The sequence below is a fragment of the Homo sapiens genome, chromosome 22 (genome assembly GCF_000001405.40).
Source record: "Homo sapiens chromosome 22, GRCh38.p14 Primary Assembly".
Lineage (NCBI taxonomy): Eukaryota > Metazoa > Chordata > Mammalia > Primates > Hominidae > Homo > Homo sapiens.
This window is the reverse complement of record NC_000022.11, coordinates 20,999,104-21,017,176: the sequence shown is the minus strand read 5'-3', so window position 1 is coordinate 21,017,176 and position 18,073 is coordinate 20,999,104. Positions and strand designations below refer to the sequence as shown.

The following is an 18,073-nucleotide window of genomic DNA, read 5'->3' as shown; positions in this document are numbered from 1 at the left end:
CTGGTGTGAAAGTTCAGCTTGGCTGCTGCGTGGTGTGCACCGAGCAGTAAGGGAGGAGGCGAGAGGGGCATCTAGGGACCCTCTAGGAGGCCATAGTCTCATGCATGGCATGGCATGGGTAGTGGTGAAAAATCTTGGAAGGGACAGGAAGGGGTCCAGGGTGAGTCACGGGTCTGGCTGAGGCACTAGTGGATGTCACAGCCACCATGACTAGTGGGCGTCACAGAGGCCATGCCAGGAGAGGAAAATAATTGATCTTTGGACATGTGGGTGTGCACCTAGAAGACAGCTGTGCTCTGGGCAGGTGATCACTGGGAATACACCCTGGGCATCAGAGGAGCAGAAGTGGCAGTTGAGGCTGGGGATGAGCTGGGTGGAGGGAGGAGGAAAACGCAGCCGAGAAGAGGGGAGGAGCAGCACCTGACCGTAGTGCCCCAGGTCAGGGAGCAGGGCTACAGGGAAGTTCCATGCCCCAGCACCTCACACCACTCTCAAGCTCAAGCCATTAGTCCTGGACACTCCCTTCTTTTCTGTTGGCAGTCTTTGGAAATGCAGTTTCTCTGGCCTGGCTTTTTTTTTTTTTTTTTTGAGACAGAGTCTCGCTTTGCCACCCAGGCTGGAGTGCAGTGGTGCAATCTCGGCTCACTGCAAGCTCCACCTCCCGGGTTCATGCCATTCTCCTGCCCCAGCCTCCCGAGTAGCTGCGACTACAGGCGCCCACCACCATGCCCGGCTAATTTTTTGTATTTTTAATAGAGATGGGGTTTCACCGTGTTAGCCAGGATACTCTCAATCTCGTGATCCACCTGCCTTGGCCTCCCAAAGTGCTGGGATTACAGGCGTGAGCCAGCACGTCCAACCCTGGCCTGGCTTCTTGAGTGGCCCCTTTTTCCACCCCAAAACCTCCTACACATCCCTGAAAGTCCTGTCCAGGTGCCACTCCTCTGTGAAGCCCTTCCTGAGAACCCGCAGCCGTCTCTGGCATCACATGCTTCTCTCTCGCACACACTGGCTGCATGGCGGGTGTTCAGGCTGTCAGTGGGGAAAGGACTTGCGCCCCCGTCAGCAACATCAGGGCCCCCACCTGAGGTGGCTTCACGAAGTCGGCCACATCCCACAGCCGGTTTCCAAGCTCCTTGATCTGAGTGACGGAAACCCCTTTGAGTTTGGTGATGATGGAAAACTGGGGTTCCAGGTCCCGCTCCTGGTAGCCTTTTTTGGCGAGGAGAGCCCACCTGGGGAGGAGAAGTCGGGCAGTGTGGTGTGTCCCCAGCGTGTAGTGACAGGGGCGGAGCTGAGCCCTACATGCTCAGTTCTCCCCCCACACCCTACAGGCTCCCGGCCCAACATCGAAGGCCCCACCTCCTCTCTGGCCCCACTTCCCACTCCAGACCCCCTGAATGAGACAGAAGCTCCAGCCATGCATCAGAGAGCCAATGCCCTCAGACAATCACCTTCACTAGCCAGCACCCACCCCCAGCCTGACTAGATCCAGCTTCCCCCTTACAGACTCTCCTGACCCGAGATACAGCTGGTGGTCTCTCTGGGGGCCTAGTGCTCCAGCTCTCACAGATGTTAAGGACTATGTCATGTGCCCCCTGGGTGGGGCCTGGGTGGGGGCCTGGGAAGGAGGCAAGTGGACACACAGGACAAACACACAGCTTGTTCTTGCTCTCCTGTCTTGTATCGCCTAGCTCTCCCCAACCCCGTCCCAATCTGCCCCCTTCCACTCCAGCCCCTAAACAGCCCAACCCTCAACTTCAACCCAGCAGGACCAAGCCCCACCCCCCACCTCTTCCCTTGCCCCTCCAGCCTGGCCAAAAGCTCTTCTCTCTTACCCTACCACATAGACCACGATCCCAAACTGCAGCAGCCTCTGCAGGGCGCCCACCCGCCAGTTCCTGGTCATCACATACTTCTCCGTCTTATAATCCAGAAGCCCCCAGCCTGTCGTAGCCCCTGGGGAGCCCATGCTGCCAGCTCCTGCTAGCTGCGGGCACATGAGTCAGCATGGCAGCTGCAGCCGCAGCTGAACAGGAGGCAAAGCAGGGCCCGAGCCAGGCCAGGCCAGTTGCTGTTAAAGGGACACTTCCACTAAAGCAGGATCCAGATCCAGCCTCCAACACCCAGCCCTCAACCCCTAATCCCAGCTGCCCTGCACCTCCCACCCTCCCTACATTCCCTTTGCTGGGCCCTGGCACACAGAGAACAGCAGCAGCTCTGTCCCTGCCCTCTGGCCTCACTTCCTGGGGTGGGAGTGGAGGTGGTGGGAGGGTGGAGACGGACAGCTGTTATCAGTGCTGTGAGAGGAGGGCCTGAGGGCAGCAGCAGCAGGGCGGGGAGGGTGTTGAGGAAAGCTTCCGGAAGAAGTGACCTCTAAGCTGACCCTTGCAGATTTCTGAAGTTCGACAAGCAGACAAAGATGGGGATGGAGGTTCCTGGTGCAGGGAGCAGCGTATGCAAAGACCAGAGCATGCAAGATAACTAAGAGGCACAGAGTGAGAGGGTGACCTGGCTCTGCGAAGTTCCCCAGGCCCTCCTGAAAAGCTGCCCCCGCCACCTTCCCCAGTGCAGTGAGGACAACACAAGTCCTGGAGTCAGGCGTGTTTCCCAGTCCACGAAAGGGGGGCGATGCTGGAACCCCCTAGGAAGGCAGGGAGGATGCCCACAAGGCGCCCAGCCCAGTGCATAGCCCGTGGCGCGTGCAGTTTATCCTCTCAGGCGAGGAGCCTCAGCGCAGGAGAGCCACGGTTTCTACGGCAACCTACAGCACTGGGTTGCCGGGGCGACCGCCGCGGGGGAGCGCGTCGCTAATTGCCGTGGCAGACGCCAGTCGATGGACGCCACACTCGATTGGTCAGCGCAGCCGCAGACTCCGCCCACATCCCCGGGTCGCGCTCTAAGTGAGGCGCCAAGCGGTCTCCGCCTCAGGGTCTGAGGCTGCGAAAGGGGCGTAACGATGAGCGGTTCCTGCCAGAGGTCTGGGGAGGATAAAAAGCAGGAGGAAGAGGCGACGGCGGCCTGTGGACGTCTTGCAGGGGTCCCCGAAGCCAAGCAGGGTCCCAAGGCCGATTCAGACTCCGACCTAGAGACGGAAGGTGCTCGGGGCAGGGGCCAGGCCCGTCTCCTCCCCTTGGGGGCTTCTCCCGCAGGGGTTGTGGGAGGTGGGCTGGCGCCGCCGAGGAGGCAGGAGACCTCTGTCCAGCAGGGCACGTAGCCCTCTGCGGGGCGTCTCCAGCCCCCTGCCCTCTCCTCGGCGCTCCTGGCGGCATCAGGAACTTTACCATGAGAAGGCGCTTCTAGAAGGAGGTTAAAATGGAAAATCCCGCCAGACAGTGCACCAAAGGCTGTCCCGCCCTGAAATGCAATCAGAGCTGGGTTTTCCCAATCCACAGGTAAAACTAATATAATGGATGTATAGAATTTAGAACTACTTCCGGTTTTTTCCCTGGGGAAAATATTCACAAAACATTTGTGGTCTGCAATCAGGTTAAAAGACATAGTGTGCCATTTGTCATCAGACAGGTAGAGGCCTGACTCTGGCAGGATTAGCTACCACTAGCTGTGAGACTTTATGTATTCATTTATTAGAGCCAGGGTCTTGCTCTGTCACCCAGCTTTCAGTGCAGTGGCAGGATCATAGCTCACTGCATCCTTGAACTCTGCACTCTGGTGAGCCTCCTGCCTCAGCCTCCTGAGTCGCTGAGACTACAGGGGGCTACCACATCTGGCTAATTTAAATAATTTTTTATCTCGCTATGTTGCCCAGGTTGTCCAGCTTTCTTTTGACAGCTGTATGACTTTAAGGAAAAGATTTGCGTTGCCTTAGCCTCGATGTTCTTATCTGTCATATGCGGGCAGTGGTCCTAAGGAGCATAGGAAGCAGTGCTTCTAGAGGCAAAAAATAGGCCAGGTAGTGATGCAGGGCAGGGGAGGAGGCAGGTGGCTATAGCCATGCAGGGGTTCACATTCATCCCCCTGTCTCCTACCAGGCACCCATGGACTTGGAGAACTGGTCGGGGACACCCTGTACCTGAGGTCTTGCTGGATCCATAGCATTGTGCCCATCTTCTGCTTTCTGTGCCAAGGGAGTGCCCCAGAGCTGAACCTGCTGCACGGTGGCCTGGGGCCCCAGGTACCACTGGAAGGACACTGGGTCCAGGCTTACAGGGAGAGGCCCCGGGAGACAACAGCCATGGGAGTGCCCCTGAGTCTGTCCCCTGTACTCCCCAGCTTCTGCCTGTGCCAGGCATGCCCTACCCTCGACATCTGAGAGACAGATGGGATTGATGCTATGACAGATGGCATGAAGGGTTGGGGAGCCTTCAGGCTTCTAACCCGCTGGGGGCTCTGGGAGAGGTGGGGGTGGGGGACACCTAGGTGGGGCCTAAAAGGAGAAGCATGTGTCCCTTAAGCAGGTGGAAAGGGGGGTACTTTCCAGGTGGGGGACGTGGAGCGGGCTGAGCCCTGGAGCATGAGCCAGGATAGTGGCCAGTGTGTTTGCTCTGTCTGTCCCAGGGCGCCGGTCTCTGGCTTCCTCATTGAGCTCCAATCCATATGTCAAGTGGCTGAACTTTTGGGACAGTGGGCTCTATGGGGCAGGTACAGAGGCCCTGGCAGGTGCCCTGAGCAAAAGCAGCAGCATCTGCGGTAGGTGCTGGGTCTGGGGCAGGTGGGCAGGCGTGAGTCCTCCCTTTCCTCAGGGATGTGCCTCCACCCCTGAAAGCTGGGCCATGTCACCTGGGTCCTGCTGGTGTTGCTGGTGGATAGAGGAGGGGCCTCATCACAGGAGGGGGTATGTGGGGTGGAGTTAGACCCTCTGCTGTGCAGCTGATGCTGGATACAAGTCCCTTCCTCATCCACCCTACCCCACCACTCTCCTTCCTTGTTGGCTGGCACCCATTCTCCTGCCCTGCCCTGCACATGGGAGACTCCCCAGTGCCTGAATGCAGAGTGGAAAGTCCTGCAACACAGAGAGTTGGGGGCGGGGAAGTTCAAGAAAGGGGTGGGCAAGGTGGGAGTTCATTGAAGCTGAATCCAAATGCTGTCTCTGCCACTGAGAAAACGGGGTGACCTATGAAAGCAGCTCAGTTTCCAATCTGTGAAATGGCCCCCACAAGACCTCATAGGCTTGGGGCTGTGGTGAGCATGAAGTGAAATGCACTCCTGAAGTGATCAGCAGAGTGTGTGACCCATGTAAGTGCTCCATGCACAGTCACCTGGGCTATTATTGCCAATCCTGGCAATGGGGCAGTGAGGGCTTCTGAAGTGGGTGGTGATATCACTGCCAGACATAATCATTGATGGGGTGGCTGCCCCCCACCACAGCAGTCTCTACAGTACCAGGAGGTAGGCAGTTTTAACCGCTTGACACAGAAGCTGGTGGGCACACAGGGAGGGGGAGGTCAGGGGCAGAGGGGACCCAGCCATTGGGAGCCAGAGCCACCATGCAACCCCAGGACAGTTAACCTGTAAGTCCTTTTCCTCTGCCTCAGACCTGGAGGTTTGGGGGATGGCAGAAGAGGGGGGAGGGGGGTGGTACCTGGCTTTGCATCCCACTGGCTGAGGAGTGGCTCCGTCCCCCAGATGTGGACCTGTTGGAGAACCAGCTGGGAGTGGCAGGAGCCCAGGCCCTCTGTGCCGCCCTCACAGTGAACCAGGCCATGCGGAAGATGCAGCTGTCAGGGAATGGCCTGGAGGAGCAGGCGGCCCAGCACCTTGCCGAACTCCTGCTGGCCCACACAGACCTGAAGTCCCTGGACCTGAGCTACAACCAGCTGAATGACCAAGCAGGTAATGCCTGCGCAGGGCACCATGGCCATGAAAGCTCAGCTTCCTGGGGCAGGGATGGGTGGGGGTTGGCAGGACCGCGCTGCACATCGCCAGGGAGCATGTGCTCTGGTTCCTGCTCCCCACACCCCACCTTGCCCCACTCCTCTTCCACTCCAGCCACACGGAACTCTTCATTCCTTCCACAAATATCTCATTGCGCGCTGCTGTATGTGCTGGGCACTGACTTAGCCACCAGGGATCCACCTTGAACAAAACCAAGTTCCTGACCTCAAGGGACAATGTTAACAATATCATTCTGAGTAATTATTGGCACTGCAAAAGAAACAAATAGTTTATGCTTCTAGAGAAGAATGGGGACCCCCTGCTTTAAAGAGGTGGCTGGGGAGGCCTCTGTGAGGTGACATTTAAGCTGAAATGTGCAGGGTGGGAAGGAGTCAGCCATGGCAAGATCAGAGGGAGAGCATTTCAAGCAGAGGAACAGTGAGCATGCGGGCCTGTTTCCCAGACTGGCAGACAGCAGTGTGCCTAGGCTAGGGAGCCAGGGAAGCGTGGCCAGGCTGTGGGGTGGAGAGGGCAGAGGGCTGCAGGGCTGTAGGCCGTGGCAAAAAGGGTATAGATTTTGTTCCAGGTGAGGTAGAAGACATGGTTGGGATTCCTTGGTCTCATCACTCTCATGCCCCTGAGTGTTTGCTTTGCCAGGAATTTGCACTTCTACCTGCCTCTCCTCAAATGGTCCAATAATAGTAACAATCACCTGTGACCCTGGGTGAGGCATGCAGATGTTGACCCTGGACCTGCTGAACCAAACTCTTAGGGGAATGCCAGTGAATCTGCATTTTAATGGATGCCCCAGGAGAGCTCTTTTCTGCAGCATTTCAGAAGCTCTCATCTGGCTCAAGCAGCTTAGAGGGAGTGGGGTGGCACCAGACTTGGCCTTTGAGAATTGGCCCTGGAGTGTAACTGCCAGAGAAGCAGTTTGTCTTCTAAAAAAATTACTACTGGGAGTCAGTGAAATTAAAAGACAGGCTTATTTCAGACTTTGACAAACTGAACATAGGTGTCTCTTTGGACCCGCACAGTAAAAGGGCAAGTGCCAGAGAGGCAGCCGGGATGGAGGGCCTGGAAGCTAAGGTGCTATGAAGGTTTCACAAACAGACACATGTACATGAGGGAGGTGGGTGGGGACTGGAAATCGACAGGCCCAGCAAGGCCATTTTTTTCCTCCAAGAGATCTGTGGGAGGGCCCAACTCCCTTGAGAGGTGAAGGAGCTTGGATCTGTGCGTCCCCACTTGATCCATGGCAATGGTAGCACCTACCGCATAGGATGGCTGCAAGGGTCACACAGAACAAGTATTGGCAGTTGCAGGGGTGTGTGGAAGAAAGAATCTTCCTGCCCTTGAGCTGTTCAGCAAAAACAGGGCCTCCCCACAAAGTGGGGGATTACTGTCTGACCCTGCCAGCCCTAGAAGTGTCTGAGTAAAGAGGAAAGCACATGTATTTGAGTACCTGTATTATCAAATCCAGTGCTGGGCGCTGAGTCTAGTTCTCAGGTAGAGAGGGGGCAATGCCCTGAGTCCTTGCTTCTGTGCAGGGAGCTCTCCATGGTGCTAAACAAGAGTGTCTGTAGCCACGGGTGCCAGTCCAGCAGGCTGGCTGAGCGCTCTGGTTAGTCCATCCGTTTTTCTTCTGTGTATTTCTTCAAACCAGCCTTCCTAGACCTCTGCAACGTCTTACTGTGAAGTGTGCGTGGTGATTTGTGCATAGATCTGTATTGTCTGCTTTTCTCTGCTTCAAAGTGTGATGCGTGTTCATTATGGATGGTCTGAATCCGTATCAACTCTCAGAGGCAAAGAGAAGTGGCCCCGGCTTGGTGGAGGTTGGTGGTGTGGCTCCCACGGGCATTGGCTTACGTTGTCTGGTTTCTCTCAGGCAGATCTGTGCATGGGACTGCAGGGCTTCCTCATCTTCCACAGCTTTGGGGGCGGCACTGGCTCTGGGTTCGTGTCTCTGCTCATGAAGCGGCTCTCGGTGGACTACGGGAAGAAGTCCAAGCTGGAGTTTGCCATTTGCCCAGCCCCCCAGGTCTCCATGGCCATGACGGAGCCCTACAACTCCATCCTGACCACCTACACGACCCTGGAACATTCTGACTGTGCCTTCATAGTCGACAGCAAAGCCACCTATGACATGTCAGCACAACCTGGACATCGAGTGTCCCATGTACACCAACCTCAGTCGTCTGGGCAGATCGTGTCCTCCATCACGGCCTCCCTGTGATTCGATGGGGCCCTGAATGTGTACTTGACAGAATTCCAAACCAACTTGGTGCCATACCCCCACATCCACCTCCCCCTGGCCACCTACGCCCTGGTCATCTCAGCCAAGAAGGCCTACCATGAGCAGCTGTCCGTGGCCAAGATCGCCAGTGCCCGCTTCGAGCCAGCCAATCAGATGGTCAAGTGTGACCCTCACCATGGCAAGTACATGGCCTGCTGCATGTTGTACAGAGGGGATGTGGTCCTGAAAGATGTCAGTGCGGCTGTCGCCACCATCAAGAGCAAGCACACCAACCAGTTTGTGGACTGGTGTCCGATTGGATTTAAGGTAGGACTGGGTGATGTGGAGTCCTTGTGCCATCAGGAAGCAGGAGACCTGCAGAATAATGCTGCCCCTGAAGGCCCGCATCCTTTATGGAGACAACCCCTTTTCACGTCAGCTAGGTTGCAAGGATAATAATTTTAGTAATTTATTTCCTACCGCCTTATACTTTACCAAATACTTTATGTTCCCTCATACCTTAACCACTACCCTTTAAAGTTCATGGGGCAATATTACCAGTATCTTACACTTTAGAAAACAGAGGCTGAGGCTGGGCACGGTGGCTCATGCCTGTAATCCCAGCACTTTGGGAGGCCAAGGCAGGCAGATCACGAGGTCAGGAGATTGAGACCATCCTGGCTAACACGGTGAAACCCCGGCTCTACTAAAAAATACAAAAAATTAGCCGGGTGTGGTGGCAGACACCTGTGGTCCCAGCTATTCGGGAGGCTGAGGCAGGAGGATGGCGTGAACCCGGGAGGCAGAGCTTGCAGTGAGTCGAGATTGCACCACTGCACTCCAGCCTGGGCAACAGAGCGAGACTACATCTCAAAAAAAAAAAAAAGAAAGAAAAAGAAAAAAGAAAAGAAAACAAAGGCTGAGATAGCTTTAGGTGTCTGGAGCCTCACAGGCAGCAAGTGATGCAGAGAGAAATCAGAGATTATCTGACTGCAGGTCCTGGTCTGTCCTCCACATTACTCCACTGCTCACTTTAGTAATTTGTCAGGTTCTATGTTATCATTTTTTGTGTTATAAATAGTGGTTTTTACACTTTACATCATCTTGGTCACCTGTTGTCACTGAATTTTGGGCAACACTAATATTTCTGTAAAGATTTTTAAATATATTGTGCAGTGTTTACTGTGAAGACCAAAGGCAGGTCTTTGCCCTTTCTCCAAACCAAGCAGAGACCTCTGCCTCACACACAATCAGACTGATGATTTGGTGCTCCTTTAGCTATGCTTACAGTCAGTTGTCTACCAAAAGAAAAGTACCATGTATTTGGAAGCCAAATAACAGAATGTCAGGCTCGAAGATCTGTTGTGATGACTAGGCTAAATGCCTCACCACACCTGTGTTGGTCAACTTTGTGCCCTATGGTTAGTTAAGAGCCCCTGTCTACAGTGGTTTCCCACATTAGGCAAAGCTATAGATCCCACATTTATAAGTCTCAATGAGTTCTGAAGGTGTTTGAGGAGTTGCAAGTTCCAGGATCATTCCAGATTGAAATGATATGAGAAAGTCACAGGTATGTGTCTTCTTTTTCCCATGTGGAATGGCCATAACTTGCCTCTGAACGCACACAACTTCTTGAATCTGTCTGGCCCTCTCTCAGCCACTTTACAACACCTTGACACAGATCATCTCTCTTTTTCATCTCACGTTGATGCAAACCATCTTTAAGTTGACAGATTTAAAGTGATTCATAGAACAGGGTAAAATCGGCCAGGCTCAGTGACACATGCCTGTAATCCCAGCACTTTGAGAAGCCCAGGTGAGAAGATTGCTTGAACCCAGGAGTTCAAGACCAGCCTGGGCAACATAGTGCGACCCTGTCTCTACAAAAGATATAAAAATTATCCAGGTATGGTTGTGCATGCCTGCAGTCATAGCTAATGGGGAGGTGGAGGTGGGAGGATCGCTTGAGACAGGGAGGCAGAGATTGCAGTGAGCCAAGATCACCACTGTACTCCAACCTGGGCAACAGAGCGTGACTGTCTCAAAAAAAAAAAAAAAAAAAAAAAAGAGGAAAAAGAAGGGTAAAATCTACAACAGTTACACCAACCTGGAATGTTCATTACATGTTACATAGGAGGATTACAGACCTTAGATGTAAGATGTTACAGGTAGGAGGTGAAACCCTCCATTCTGTGTCTAATTATTAAGCCTCTCAACTTGAGTAGAGGAATTTTTCTTTCAATTAGTGTTACATTTGGAAGGTGAAGACATCCTTAGCTGGCAGGCACTGTGGGAGATGCTATGCTGTGCAGAGGTTTCCTATTGTAACTAAGTATTGTGAGACAGTAGGGAGGCTAGTCTGTGGGGAGATAAAGTCACAGCCTCTCCTCCCCCCAGAAGATAGTCCAGCCTTAGATGGACCTTGTTGAATTAATTCTCTTTGCTCTTAAGTTCCTTTTTGTCAGTCTTAGTGTGATTTACCATACATTCTTGTTTGTTTGTTTGTTTTGAGACGGAGTTTCACTCTTGTCACTCAGGCTGGAGTGCAGTGATGTGATCTCGGCTCACTGCAGCCTCTGCCTCCCCGGTTCAAGCAATTCTCCTGACTCAGCCTCCTGAGTAGCTGGGATTACAGGCGCCCGCCACCATGCCTGGCTATTTTTTTTTTTTTTTTTTGAGACAGAGTCTTGCTCTGTCGCCCAGGCTGGAGTGCAGTGGCACAATCTCAGCTCACTGCAAGCTCCGCCTCCGGGGTTCATGCCATTCTCCTGCTTCAGCCTCCCGAGTAGCTGGGACTACAGGTGCCCGCCATCGCGCCTGGCTAACGTTTTTTTTTTTTTTTTTTTTATTTTTTAGTAGAGCCGGGGTTTCACCGTGTTAGCCAGGATGGTCTTGATCTCCTGACCTAGTGATCCGCCCGCCTCGGCCTCCCAAAGTGCTGGGATTACAGGCATGAGCCACCACGCCTGACCAATTTTTTGTATTTTTAGTAGAGATGAGGTTTCACCGTGTTGGGCAGGCTGGTCTTGAACTCCTGACCTCAGTTGATCCATCCGCCTTGGCCTCCCAAAATGCTGGGATTACAGGTGTGAGCCACCGCACCCAGCCAACCATACATTCTTTAACAACCATTTGCTTTTTTTTTGTTTGTTTGTTTGAGATGGAGTCTCGCCCTGTCACCCAGGCTGGAGTACAATGGAACACACTGCAACCTCCGCCTCCCAGGTTCAAGCAATTCTCCTGTCTCAGCCTCTCAAGCAGCTGGAATTACAGGCATGCGCCACCAAGCCTGGCTAATTTTTGTATTTTTGGTAGACACAGGGTTTCACCATGTTGGCTAAGCTGGTCTCGAGCTCCTGAACTCAAGTGATCCAACCGCCTTGGCCTCCCGAAGTGCTGGAATCACAGGCGTGAGTCACTGCACCCAGCTTCGGATATGCTATTTTCGAAGAGTCTTTTCCATGCTTAAAAACATTTGGGGGCTGGACCGAGTGGCTCATGCCTGTAATCCCAACACTTTGGGAGGCTGAGGTCGGTGGATCACCTGAGCTTAGGAGTTCGAGACCAGCCTAGGCAACATGGTGAAACCTCATCTCTACCAAAAATACAAAAAATTAGCCGGGCATGATGCCACGCACTTATAGCTACTTGGAAGGCTGAGGTGGGAGGATCACTTGAGCCTAGGAGGTGGAGGTTGCAGTGAGCCAAGATTGCACCACTGCACTCCAGGCTGGGTGACCAAGTGAGACCCTCTCTCACCAAAAAAAAAAAAAAAAGCTTGAGTCCAGGAGTTCAGGATCCATTGGGGGAACATGGTGAAACCCCATCTCTACACAAAATACAAAAAATTAGCCGGGTGTGATGGCACACACCTATAGTTCCAGTTACTTGGGAGGCTGAGGTAGGAGGATCACCTGAGACTGGGAGGCAGATGTTGCAGTGAGCCATGACTGCGCCACTGCACTCCAGCCTGGGTGACAGAACAAGACCCTTAGAAAAAAAAATACGAACATTTGGGTTTTTTATTATAAAAGTACTTATGTTGGCCAGGCACAGTGTCTCACACCTGTAATCCATTGGGTGGATGGCTTGAGCCCAGGACTTTGAGACCAGCCTGGGCAACGTGGCAAAACCTGTCTCTACAAAAAATAAAAAATTAGCTGGGCATGGTGGCACATTTCCTGTAGTGCTAGCTACTCAGGAGGCTGAGACAGGAGGACTGCTTAAGCCCGGGAGGTTGAGGCTGCAGTGAGCCAAGATGGCACCATTGTACTTCACTCTAACCTGGGCGACAGAGCAAAACCCATCTCAAAAAAAAAAAAAAAAAAAAAGCTGGGTGCGGTCAGTGGCTCACGCCTATAATCCCAGCATTCTGGGAGGCCAAGGTAGGCGGATCACCGGAGGTCAGGAGTTCAAGACCAGCCTGGCCAACATGGTGAAACCCTATCTCTACTAAAAATACAAAAATTAGTCAGGCATGGTGGCGGTTGCCTGTAATTCCAGCTACTCTGGAGGCTGAGGCAGGAGAATTGCTTGAACCCAGGAGGTGGAGGTTGCAGTGAGCCGAGATTGTGCCACTGCACTCCAGCCTGAATGACAGAGCAAGACTCCATCTCAAAAAAAAAAAAAAAAAAAAAAAAAAAAAAAAAAAAAAAAAAAAAACTTGATATGGGCCGGGCGCGGTGGCTCACACCTGTAATCCCAATACTTTGGGAGGCTGATGCAGGCGGATCACTTAAAGTGGGAAAATCGCTTGAACCCAGGAGGCAGAGGTTGCAGTGAGCCAAGATCACACCACTGCACTCAAGGCTGGGTGACAGAGTGAGACCCTGTCTCAAAAACAAAACAAAACCTGATATGTGGCAAAATACTGAAAGAATGCAGAAGACTGAAAAGCTGAAGTCCTCTTCTTCCCCAGAGCTGCTTCTGTCCTTTGAAAAACATTCTGTACATATTCAAGGCATATTAATCTCTTGTTATACAGGTGATGTTGACAGTGGCCAGCAGATATGTATGTCCCTTTCCTGTAGGTGACAGACCCAATTGCTGCACACAGGTGGTCACAGTAAACAGAAAGCTGGCAGCACTCCCACTTGGAAGGGCTGATAGGCTTGGCCTTAGAGTTGTGGGAGGACACTCCCTGATCAGGGTACGAACCCTTCTCTCTGCCCCTTCCAACTCCTGTGGAGTGTGTCTGTATCTAGTTGGTGCTAACTGCTACGTGCTTGGCAGGGCAAGGCAGGGTCACCACCTCAGCAGGCGTTTGTCCTCCTCCGGCATGATGCTACCCTAGCTGCCCAAGGTTCTAGCCTGTGTATGTTATTACATGGATTTTTTTACACATAAATACATAGACTTCAACTCACTTTTCTTTTTACAAAGTATACAATATACCTTGGATGTATTTATATCCCAAGACAGGGTTCTCATTCTTTTTCATGTGTTTTACTGTATGGGTAATATGGGTAATAATTTTTTTTTTTTTCTGAGACAGAGTCTCGCTCTGTAGCCCAGGCTGGAGTGCAGTGGCGAAATCTCAGCTCACTGAAATCTCCGTCTTCCGGGCTCCATCTTACATGCCCATAATCCCAGCTACTCAGGACGCTGAGGTAGGAGAATTGCTTGAACCTGGGAGACAAAGGTTGCAGTGAGCCGAGATTGCACCACTGCACTCCAGCCTGGGCAACAGAGCTAGACCCTGTCTCAACAACAACAACAAAGAAGGAGGAGAAGGAGGAAGAAGGAGAAGAAAAGAAAAAAAAAAGTCGTCAAAGGATATTAATTGTCGATAGATAACAGATAATGCCAAAAAATATAGAAGCAATTCTTAAAACACAGTGTTGGAACTGGTCCACAGCTCTGATTTTTAATGAGCTCCCATTTCTGAGGCCAATATAAACTTCATTCTATGCTGCCCATCTCTGACAGGTGGGCATTAACTACCAGCCCCCCACGGTGGTCCCTGTGGGAGACCTGGCCAAAGTGCAGCGGGCGGTGTGCATGCTGAGCAACACCACGGCCATCACGGAGGCCTGGGCCTGCCTGGACCATAAGTTCGGCCAAGTGCGCCTTAGTGCACTGGTACGTGGGGGAGGGCATGGCAGTGGGGGAATTCTCCGAGGCCCGCGAGGATCTGGCAGCTCTGGAGGATTATGAAGATGTGGGCATGGATTCCGTGGAAGCTGAGGCTGAAGAAGGCGAAGAATAGTGAGGGGAGGGTGCGGCAGGCAACCATCCCTCTGTATTCCCCACCATAACGCTAGGAGAGCTAATTACCTATTAAAATTTCCGTATTGCAAATTAGCCGGGCGTGGTGGCGGGCGCTTGTAGTCCCAGCTACTGTGGAGGGTGAGGCAGCCGAATGGCGTGAACCCGGGAGGCGGAGTTTGCAGTGAGCCGAGATCGCGCCACTGCACTCCAGCCTGGGCGACAGAGCGAGACTCCGGTCTCAGGAAAATAATAATAAAATAAAAAATAAAATTTCTGTATTGCGATACTGTCTTTCTCCTGTGTTGTACTTTGAGAGATTCCTCCTCCAGATAACCCTCCCTGAAGTCCACCTCCCCAGTACGAGAGTGAGTGCGGGCTCTGGTTTTTGTCGGGTTCTTTCGTGCAAGCGTCCCAGGCCCCGTTTTATTTCTTCCGTCAGAGGTCATTCCGAGGCGAGCTGCCGCCCCTGCGGCTTTCGAGGCTCCCAGGACACTGCCGCTTTCCGCTCCCGGGCCGCTCCCGAACGCTGGGGCCGCTCCATCGTGCCGGGGTGTTTACGGAGAAAAGTGAGGCCTGAGCGGACGAAAGAGAAGCCCACGTGGGCGACAATACTGGTAGTCCAGGGAGCTGGGACGACGCGGGCGCGTCAGAAACTCGCACGCTCGCGCCGCTTACTAACCCAGCTAGCTAGGACCTCGCCCCGCCCCGCCCCGGTGGCGGGGGCACCTCCGGCTCTCCAGTCTCTATGGTACCAACTTCCGGCGCGCGCTACCCCTCGCGAGACTTCGGCGGCGCAGCAATGGCCAGAGCGTGAGTGCCGCTGACAGAAGTCAAGAGAATCGGCTGGGACGGGGTTGGGGCGACAACGGGCCGGGGGGGACCCGACAGGCCAGAGCCCCTTGGGGAGGAGCGGCGGCTGGAGGCGCGAGGCTCCTCCGGATGCCCGGAGAGCCGCTTGCGACTTAACTCCCGCCTCTTTCCCAGATGCCGCGTCACTGCTCCGCCGCCGGCTGCTGCACACGGGACACGCGCGAGACGCGCAACCGCGGCATCTCCTTCCACAGGTCAGCGCGCGTGCGCCGCGGGCTCACGTGCGCATGCGCTAGTTGTTGCTCGCCTCGGGTCGCAACTGCGTAGAGGCTTCGCGCCTTTCTCAGATACTGAGGAGGCTTGAACCTGTGGGTGGGAGGTGAAGCGGAACGGTCCCGGCGGGACTGAATGCAGTCGGGAAGGGGAGGACGGGAAGTCTAGCCGGCTTGGACCCGCCCCACTCTGTTACCTGCCAGATGACGCTGAGGAAACTGCTTTTCTTCTCGAGGCCTCCGTTGCCTCGTCTGTGCCCGGGCGGTGGTGCTTACCCGGCGGGGTCGCAGGGAGGTCTCGTGGCGGCGCGTGTTGGGTCTGCGTTTCCCCTCTGGGGTGCTTGGGCAGCATGAGCCCAGGGCTGTGGACAGCCTGGTGCTCACGGGTTTGTGGCTCCACAGACTTCCCAAGAAGGACAACCCGAGGCGAGGCTTGTGGCTGGCCAACTGCCAGCGGCTGGACCCCAGCGGCCAGGGCCTGTGGGACCCGGCATCCGAGTACATCTACTTCTGCTCCAAACACTTTGAGGAGGACTGCTTTGAGCTGGTGGGAATCAGGTGGGCCTCCCTGCCGGCCGACGCTGGGGTAGGATGTGGGGCTCCCGGCGGACTGGGACAGCTGCAGGTCATGGAAGTCCCTTGAGCAGCCTGCGTCCAAGGGGGCTGTTTCCTGTTCCCAGCTCTGCACAGTGAAACCCACCCCCAGGATCACTGTGCCTGTGACACAAGGGGAAAACAGGAGCCTTTCCAGAGAGTATCTTTCAGAGCCCCAGTCTTGCCAGCAAGTCCACAAATCAAAGAATTCTTTCTGGCTGGTCAGCCCAGCTCGGCTTATGCAGGCTTTCCACACACCTGGACTGTGAGGAGTCCTGCGGGGAAGCGATTGGTGTAGCTGTAACTTGGCGTTCCCCAGACGTATTGTTTGCACGATGCCTTCCAGCATCCCACGGCGCTGCTGCTGGGGGCAGATTGGCCTGGGGAGGCAGCACTTGCTCTCCAGCTCATCTGGGTTGCTTTTCCCCGCAGTGGATATCACAGGCTAAAGGAGGGGGCAGTCCCCACCATATTTGAGTCTTTCTCCAAGTTGCGCCGGACAACCAAGACCAAAGGACACAGTTACCCACCTGGCCCCGCTGAAGTCAGCCGGCTCAGACGATGCAGGAAGCGGTATGTGATATGGGTGGGGGATGCCCCACTCCCACCCCTAGGCTGAGGGACTGGGCCCTAGGGGTGTCTGCCAGCAGTCTCGCTGGACAGGGTTCTTGCTACACAGAACCTGTGGATCGGGTTTGGGTGTTAAGGGTGGATCAGGTGGGCTGGTGGAGGGGGGTCTGGCAAGCCCTCAGCCTAGCCCATCAGTCTCTCTCTTCCCCCTTACCAGCTGCTCCGAGGGCCGAGGGCCCACAACTCCATTTTCTCCACCTCCACCTGCTGATGTCACCTGCTTTCCTGTGGAAGAGGCCTCAGCACCTGCCACTTTGCCGGCCTCCCCAGCTGGGAGGCTGGAGCCTGGCCTTAGCAGCCCCTTTTCAGACCTACTGGGCCCCTTGGGTGCCCAGGCAGATGAAGCAGGCTGCAGCGCCCAGCCTTCACCAGAGCGGCAGCCCTCCCCTCTCGAACCACGGCCAGTCTCCCCCTCAGCGTATATGCTGCGCCTGCCCCCACCCGCCGGAGCCTACATCCAGAATGAACACAGCTACCAGGTGGGCAGCGCCTTACTCTGGAAGCGGCGAGCCGAGGCAGCCCTTGATGCCCTTGACAAGGCCCAGCGCCAGCTGCAGGCCTGCAAGCGGCGGGAGCAGCGGCTGCGGTTGAGACTGACCAAGCTGCAGCAGGAGCGGGCACGGGAGAAGCGGGCACAGGCAGATGCCCGCCAGACTCTGAAGGAGCATGTGCAGGACTTTGCCATGCAGCTGAGCAGCAGCATGGCCTGAGGGGCTGCTGGACTGACCGAGGGGCTGCCCAGCAAGACTGCAGCCTCTTCCTCCCTCAGATCCCACCAGACCCACCAGGTGCCATAATAAAGCGGATTCTAGACGGAGGGCCTGCTGTCTGGCTCAGCTGGGGGCTGGAGCCCCTCTGAGTACTAAGCTTGCTGCCCCAGACAGTGGCTGCAGCTCCTAGAGGGCTCAGTCCAAGCTCTTTGCCAAGGAGAACAGGGAGCCTGGCTCTCACCCCTCAGAGCTACTGGTAGACAGGTGGCAGTCAGCCCTGCTAGCGCAGCTCCGTGCCCCACAGGGTTCTCTGAAGGGGCAGGATGGTGTGAGTAGGGGCCAGGAAGACAGCTCCAGGCGCCCTTTCCATAGGATCTGAAACAGCCCTGACTTAAACCAGCCAGCCCCTTTGAGAACACTTCTAAAACCCAGTCTAGATCCGGTTCTCAAGCAGGAGCATGACAGGCTTCTGTCCACAGGCCCCATCAGCCTGGTGGGTAAGCTGGACAACCCTCTCCCCGCCCCCTTCACTACCATCTCTATTTGAAAAACGGGGATGATGATGACAATCATCAACCTCCTGGGTCATGTCAGCAGGTAGTAAAGCCCCAACAAGCTAGTCCCTGGAAATCTAGGAAGAGGTGGCCAGAACATGGAGACAAGCACTCAGGTCCTGGCCTCAGCATCCTTTTCCTTCAACTCCCAGGAACCTGGAAGGCCTTGCTGCAGCTGCAGTTCTCAAACAGCTCCGTCTTGGGGTGACTCACTGCAAGTAT

The 18,073-nt window shown here is 54.6% G+C and overlaps 2 protein-coding genes, 1 long non-coding RNA gene and 1 pseudogene across 35 annotated transcripts in view, besides 8 other annotated features; 2 read left to right on the top strand and 2 right to left on the bottom strand.

The window, feature by feature from the left end:
• The window catches only part of P2RX6 (purinergic receptor P2X 6), an 18,210-nt gene extending 10,832 nt beyond the window's left edge, over positions 1-7,378 (bottom strand). For 18 of the 30 annotated variants that reach the window (XR_937950.3, XR_937952.3, XR_007067990.1 and 15 more), the window contains exons 1-2: positions 1,839-2,012; positions 1,085-1,235 (exon numbers count right to left, since the gene is read on the bottom strand). Coding sequence is in view for 16 of the 30 variants with exons in the window: in XM_011530498.3 (XP_011528800.1) it covers positions 1,085-1,235; positions 1,839-2,002 (315 nt within the window). In the remaining 14 variants the exon portion in view is untranslated. Of the gene's footprint in view, positions 1-1,084; positions 1,488-1,507; positions 2,013-7,300 lie in introns of those variants that run through there. The other 12 variants (XR_007067992.1, NM_001349875.2, XM_011530500.3 and 9 more) reach the window with 6 other exon arrangements.
• On the top strand, positions 2,890-8,974 carry TUBA3FP (tubulin alpha 3f pseudogene; annotated as a pseudogene). The gene is made up of 3 exons (NR_003608.1): positions 2,890-3,395; positions 5,587-5,793; positions 7,724-8,974. The product of NR_003608.1 is annotated as a tubulin alpha 3f pseudogene (transcript).
• Positions 2,983-3,132: an enhancer, noted in NCBI's record as "active region_18695". NCBI's record gives its function as "activates an Ori minimal core promoter by ATAC-STARR-seq in GM12878 lymphoblastoid cells {active_cell/tissue: GM12878}" and the evidence as "EXISTENCE:reporter gene assay evidence [ECO:0000049][PMID:35858748]".
• Positions 6,030-6,845: an enhancer, noted in NCBI's record as "NANOG-H3K4me1 hESC enhancer chr22:21364621-21365436 (GRCh37/hg19 assembly coordinates)". NCBI's record gives its function as "activates a minimal SCP1, AML or CMV promoter by ChIP-STARR-seq in naive and primed H9 embryonic stem cells {active_cell/tissue: H9 hESC(naive and primed)}" and the evidence as "EXISTENCE:reporter gene assay evidence [ECO:0000049][PMID:30033119]".
• On the bottom strand, positions 6,803-15,255 carry THAP7-AS1 (THAP7 antisense RNA 1). Of its 2 annotated transcripts, none has more exons than NR_027051.1 (2): positions 14,348-15,255; positions 6,803-8,510 (listed from the first exon to the last, which is right to left on the bottom strand). It is a non-coding gene; the product is annotated as a THAP7 antisense RNA 1 (long non-coding RNA). The 2 variants fall into 2 exon arrangements; NR_027052.1 differs by lacking the exon at positions 6,803-8,510 and adding an exon at positions 13,905-14,259.
• Positions 7,588-7,733: a silencer, noted in NCBI's record as "fragment chr22:21363733-21363878 (GRCh37/hg19 assembly coordinates)". NCBI's record gives its function as "represses an EF-1alpha promoter that drives an FKBP-Casp9 reporter gene in an ReSE screen in HepG2 liver carcinoma cells {active_cell/tissue: HepG2}" and the evidence as "EXISTENCE:reporter gene assay evidence [ECO:0000049][PMID:32094911]".
• Positions 14,064-14,454: a silencer, noted in NCBI's record as "fragment chr22:21357012-21357402 (GRCh37/hg19 assembly coordinates)". NCBI's record gives its function as "represses an EF-1alpha promoter that drives an FKBP-Casp9 reporter gene in an ReSE screen in K562 erythroleukemia cells {active_cell/tissue: K562}" and the evidence as "EXISTENCE:reporter gene assay evidence [ECO:0000049][PMID:32094911]".
• Positions 15,059-18,073, top strand: THAP7 (THAP domain containing 7). Of its 2 annotated transcripts, NM_001008695.1 has the most exons (5): positions 15,062-15,091; positions 15,266-15,345; positions 15,766-15,921; positions 16,390-16,530; positions 16,745-17,405. In NM_001008695.1, exons 2-5 carry the CDS (start codon positions 15,266-15,268, stop codon positions 17,295-17,297), a joined length of 930 nt encoding a protein of 309 aa, NP_001008695.1. In that variant the 5' UTR covers positions 15,062-15,091; the 3' UTR covers positions 17,298-17,405. The 2 variants fall into 2 exon arrangements, with proteins under 2 accessions (NP_085050.2, NP_001008695.1); NM_030573.3 differs by having other exon boundaries at positions 15,059-15,345; positions 16,745-18,073.
• Positions 15,096-15,205: a silencer, noted in NCBI's record as "silent region_13506". NCBI's record gives its function as "represses an Ori minimal core promoter by ATAC-STARR-seq in GM12878 lymphoblastoid cells {active_cell/tissue: GM12878}" and the evidence as "EXISTENCE:reporter gene assay evidence [ECO:0000049][PMID:35858748]".
• Positions 15,226-15,395: a silencer, noted in NCBI's record as "silent region_13505". NCBI's record gives its function as "represses an Ori minimal core promoter by ATAC-STARR-seq in GM12878 lymphoblastoid cells {active_cell/tissue: GM12878}" and the evidence as "EXISTENCE:reporter gene assay evidence [ECO:0000049][PMID:35858748]".
• Positions 15,996-16,205: an enhancer, noted in NCBI's record as "active region_18694". NCBI's record gives its function as "activates an Ori minimal core promoter by ATAC-STARR-seq in GM12878 lymphoblastoid cells {active_cell/tissue: GM12878}" and the evidence as "EXISTENCE:reporter gene assay evidence [ECO:0000049][PMID:35858748]".
• Positions 17,458-18,013: an enhancer, noted in NCBI's record as "H3K27ac-H3K4me1 hESC enhancer chr22:21353453-21354008 (GRCh37/hg19 assembly coordinates)". NCBI's record gives its function as "activates a minimal SCP1, AML or CMV promoter by ChIP-STARR-seq in naive H9 embryonic stem cells {active_cell/tissue: H9 hESC(naive)}" and the evidence as "EXISTENCE:reporter gene assay evidence [ECO:0000049][PMID:30033119]".

Bases quoted from the DNA above. Each gene is read 5' to 3' on its own strand.
- THAP7 (NM_030573.3), top strand. From the start codon at position 15,266: ATGCCGCGTCACTGCTCCGCCGCCGGCTGCTGCACACGGGACACGCGC. The intron at 15,346-15,765 runs GTCAGCGCGCGT...GTGGCTCCACAG, and splicing joins CGCGGCATCTCCTTCCACAG to ACTTCCCAAGAAGGACAACC. The intron at 15,922-16,389 runs GTGGGCCTCCCT...TTTTCCCCGCAG, and splicing joins TTTGAGCTGGTGGGAATCAG to TGGATATCACAGGCTAAAGG.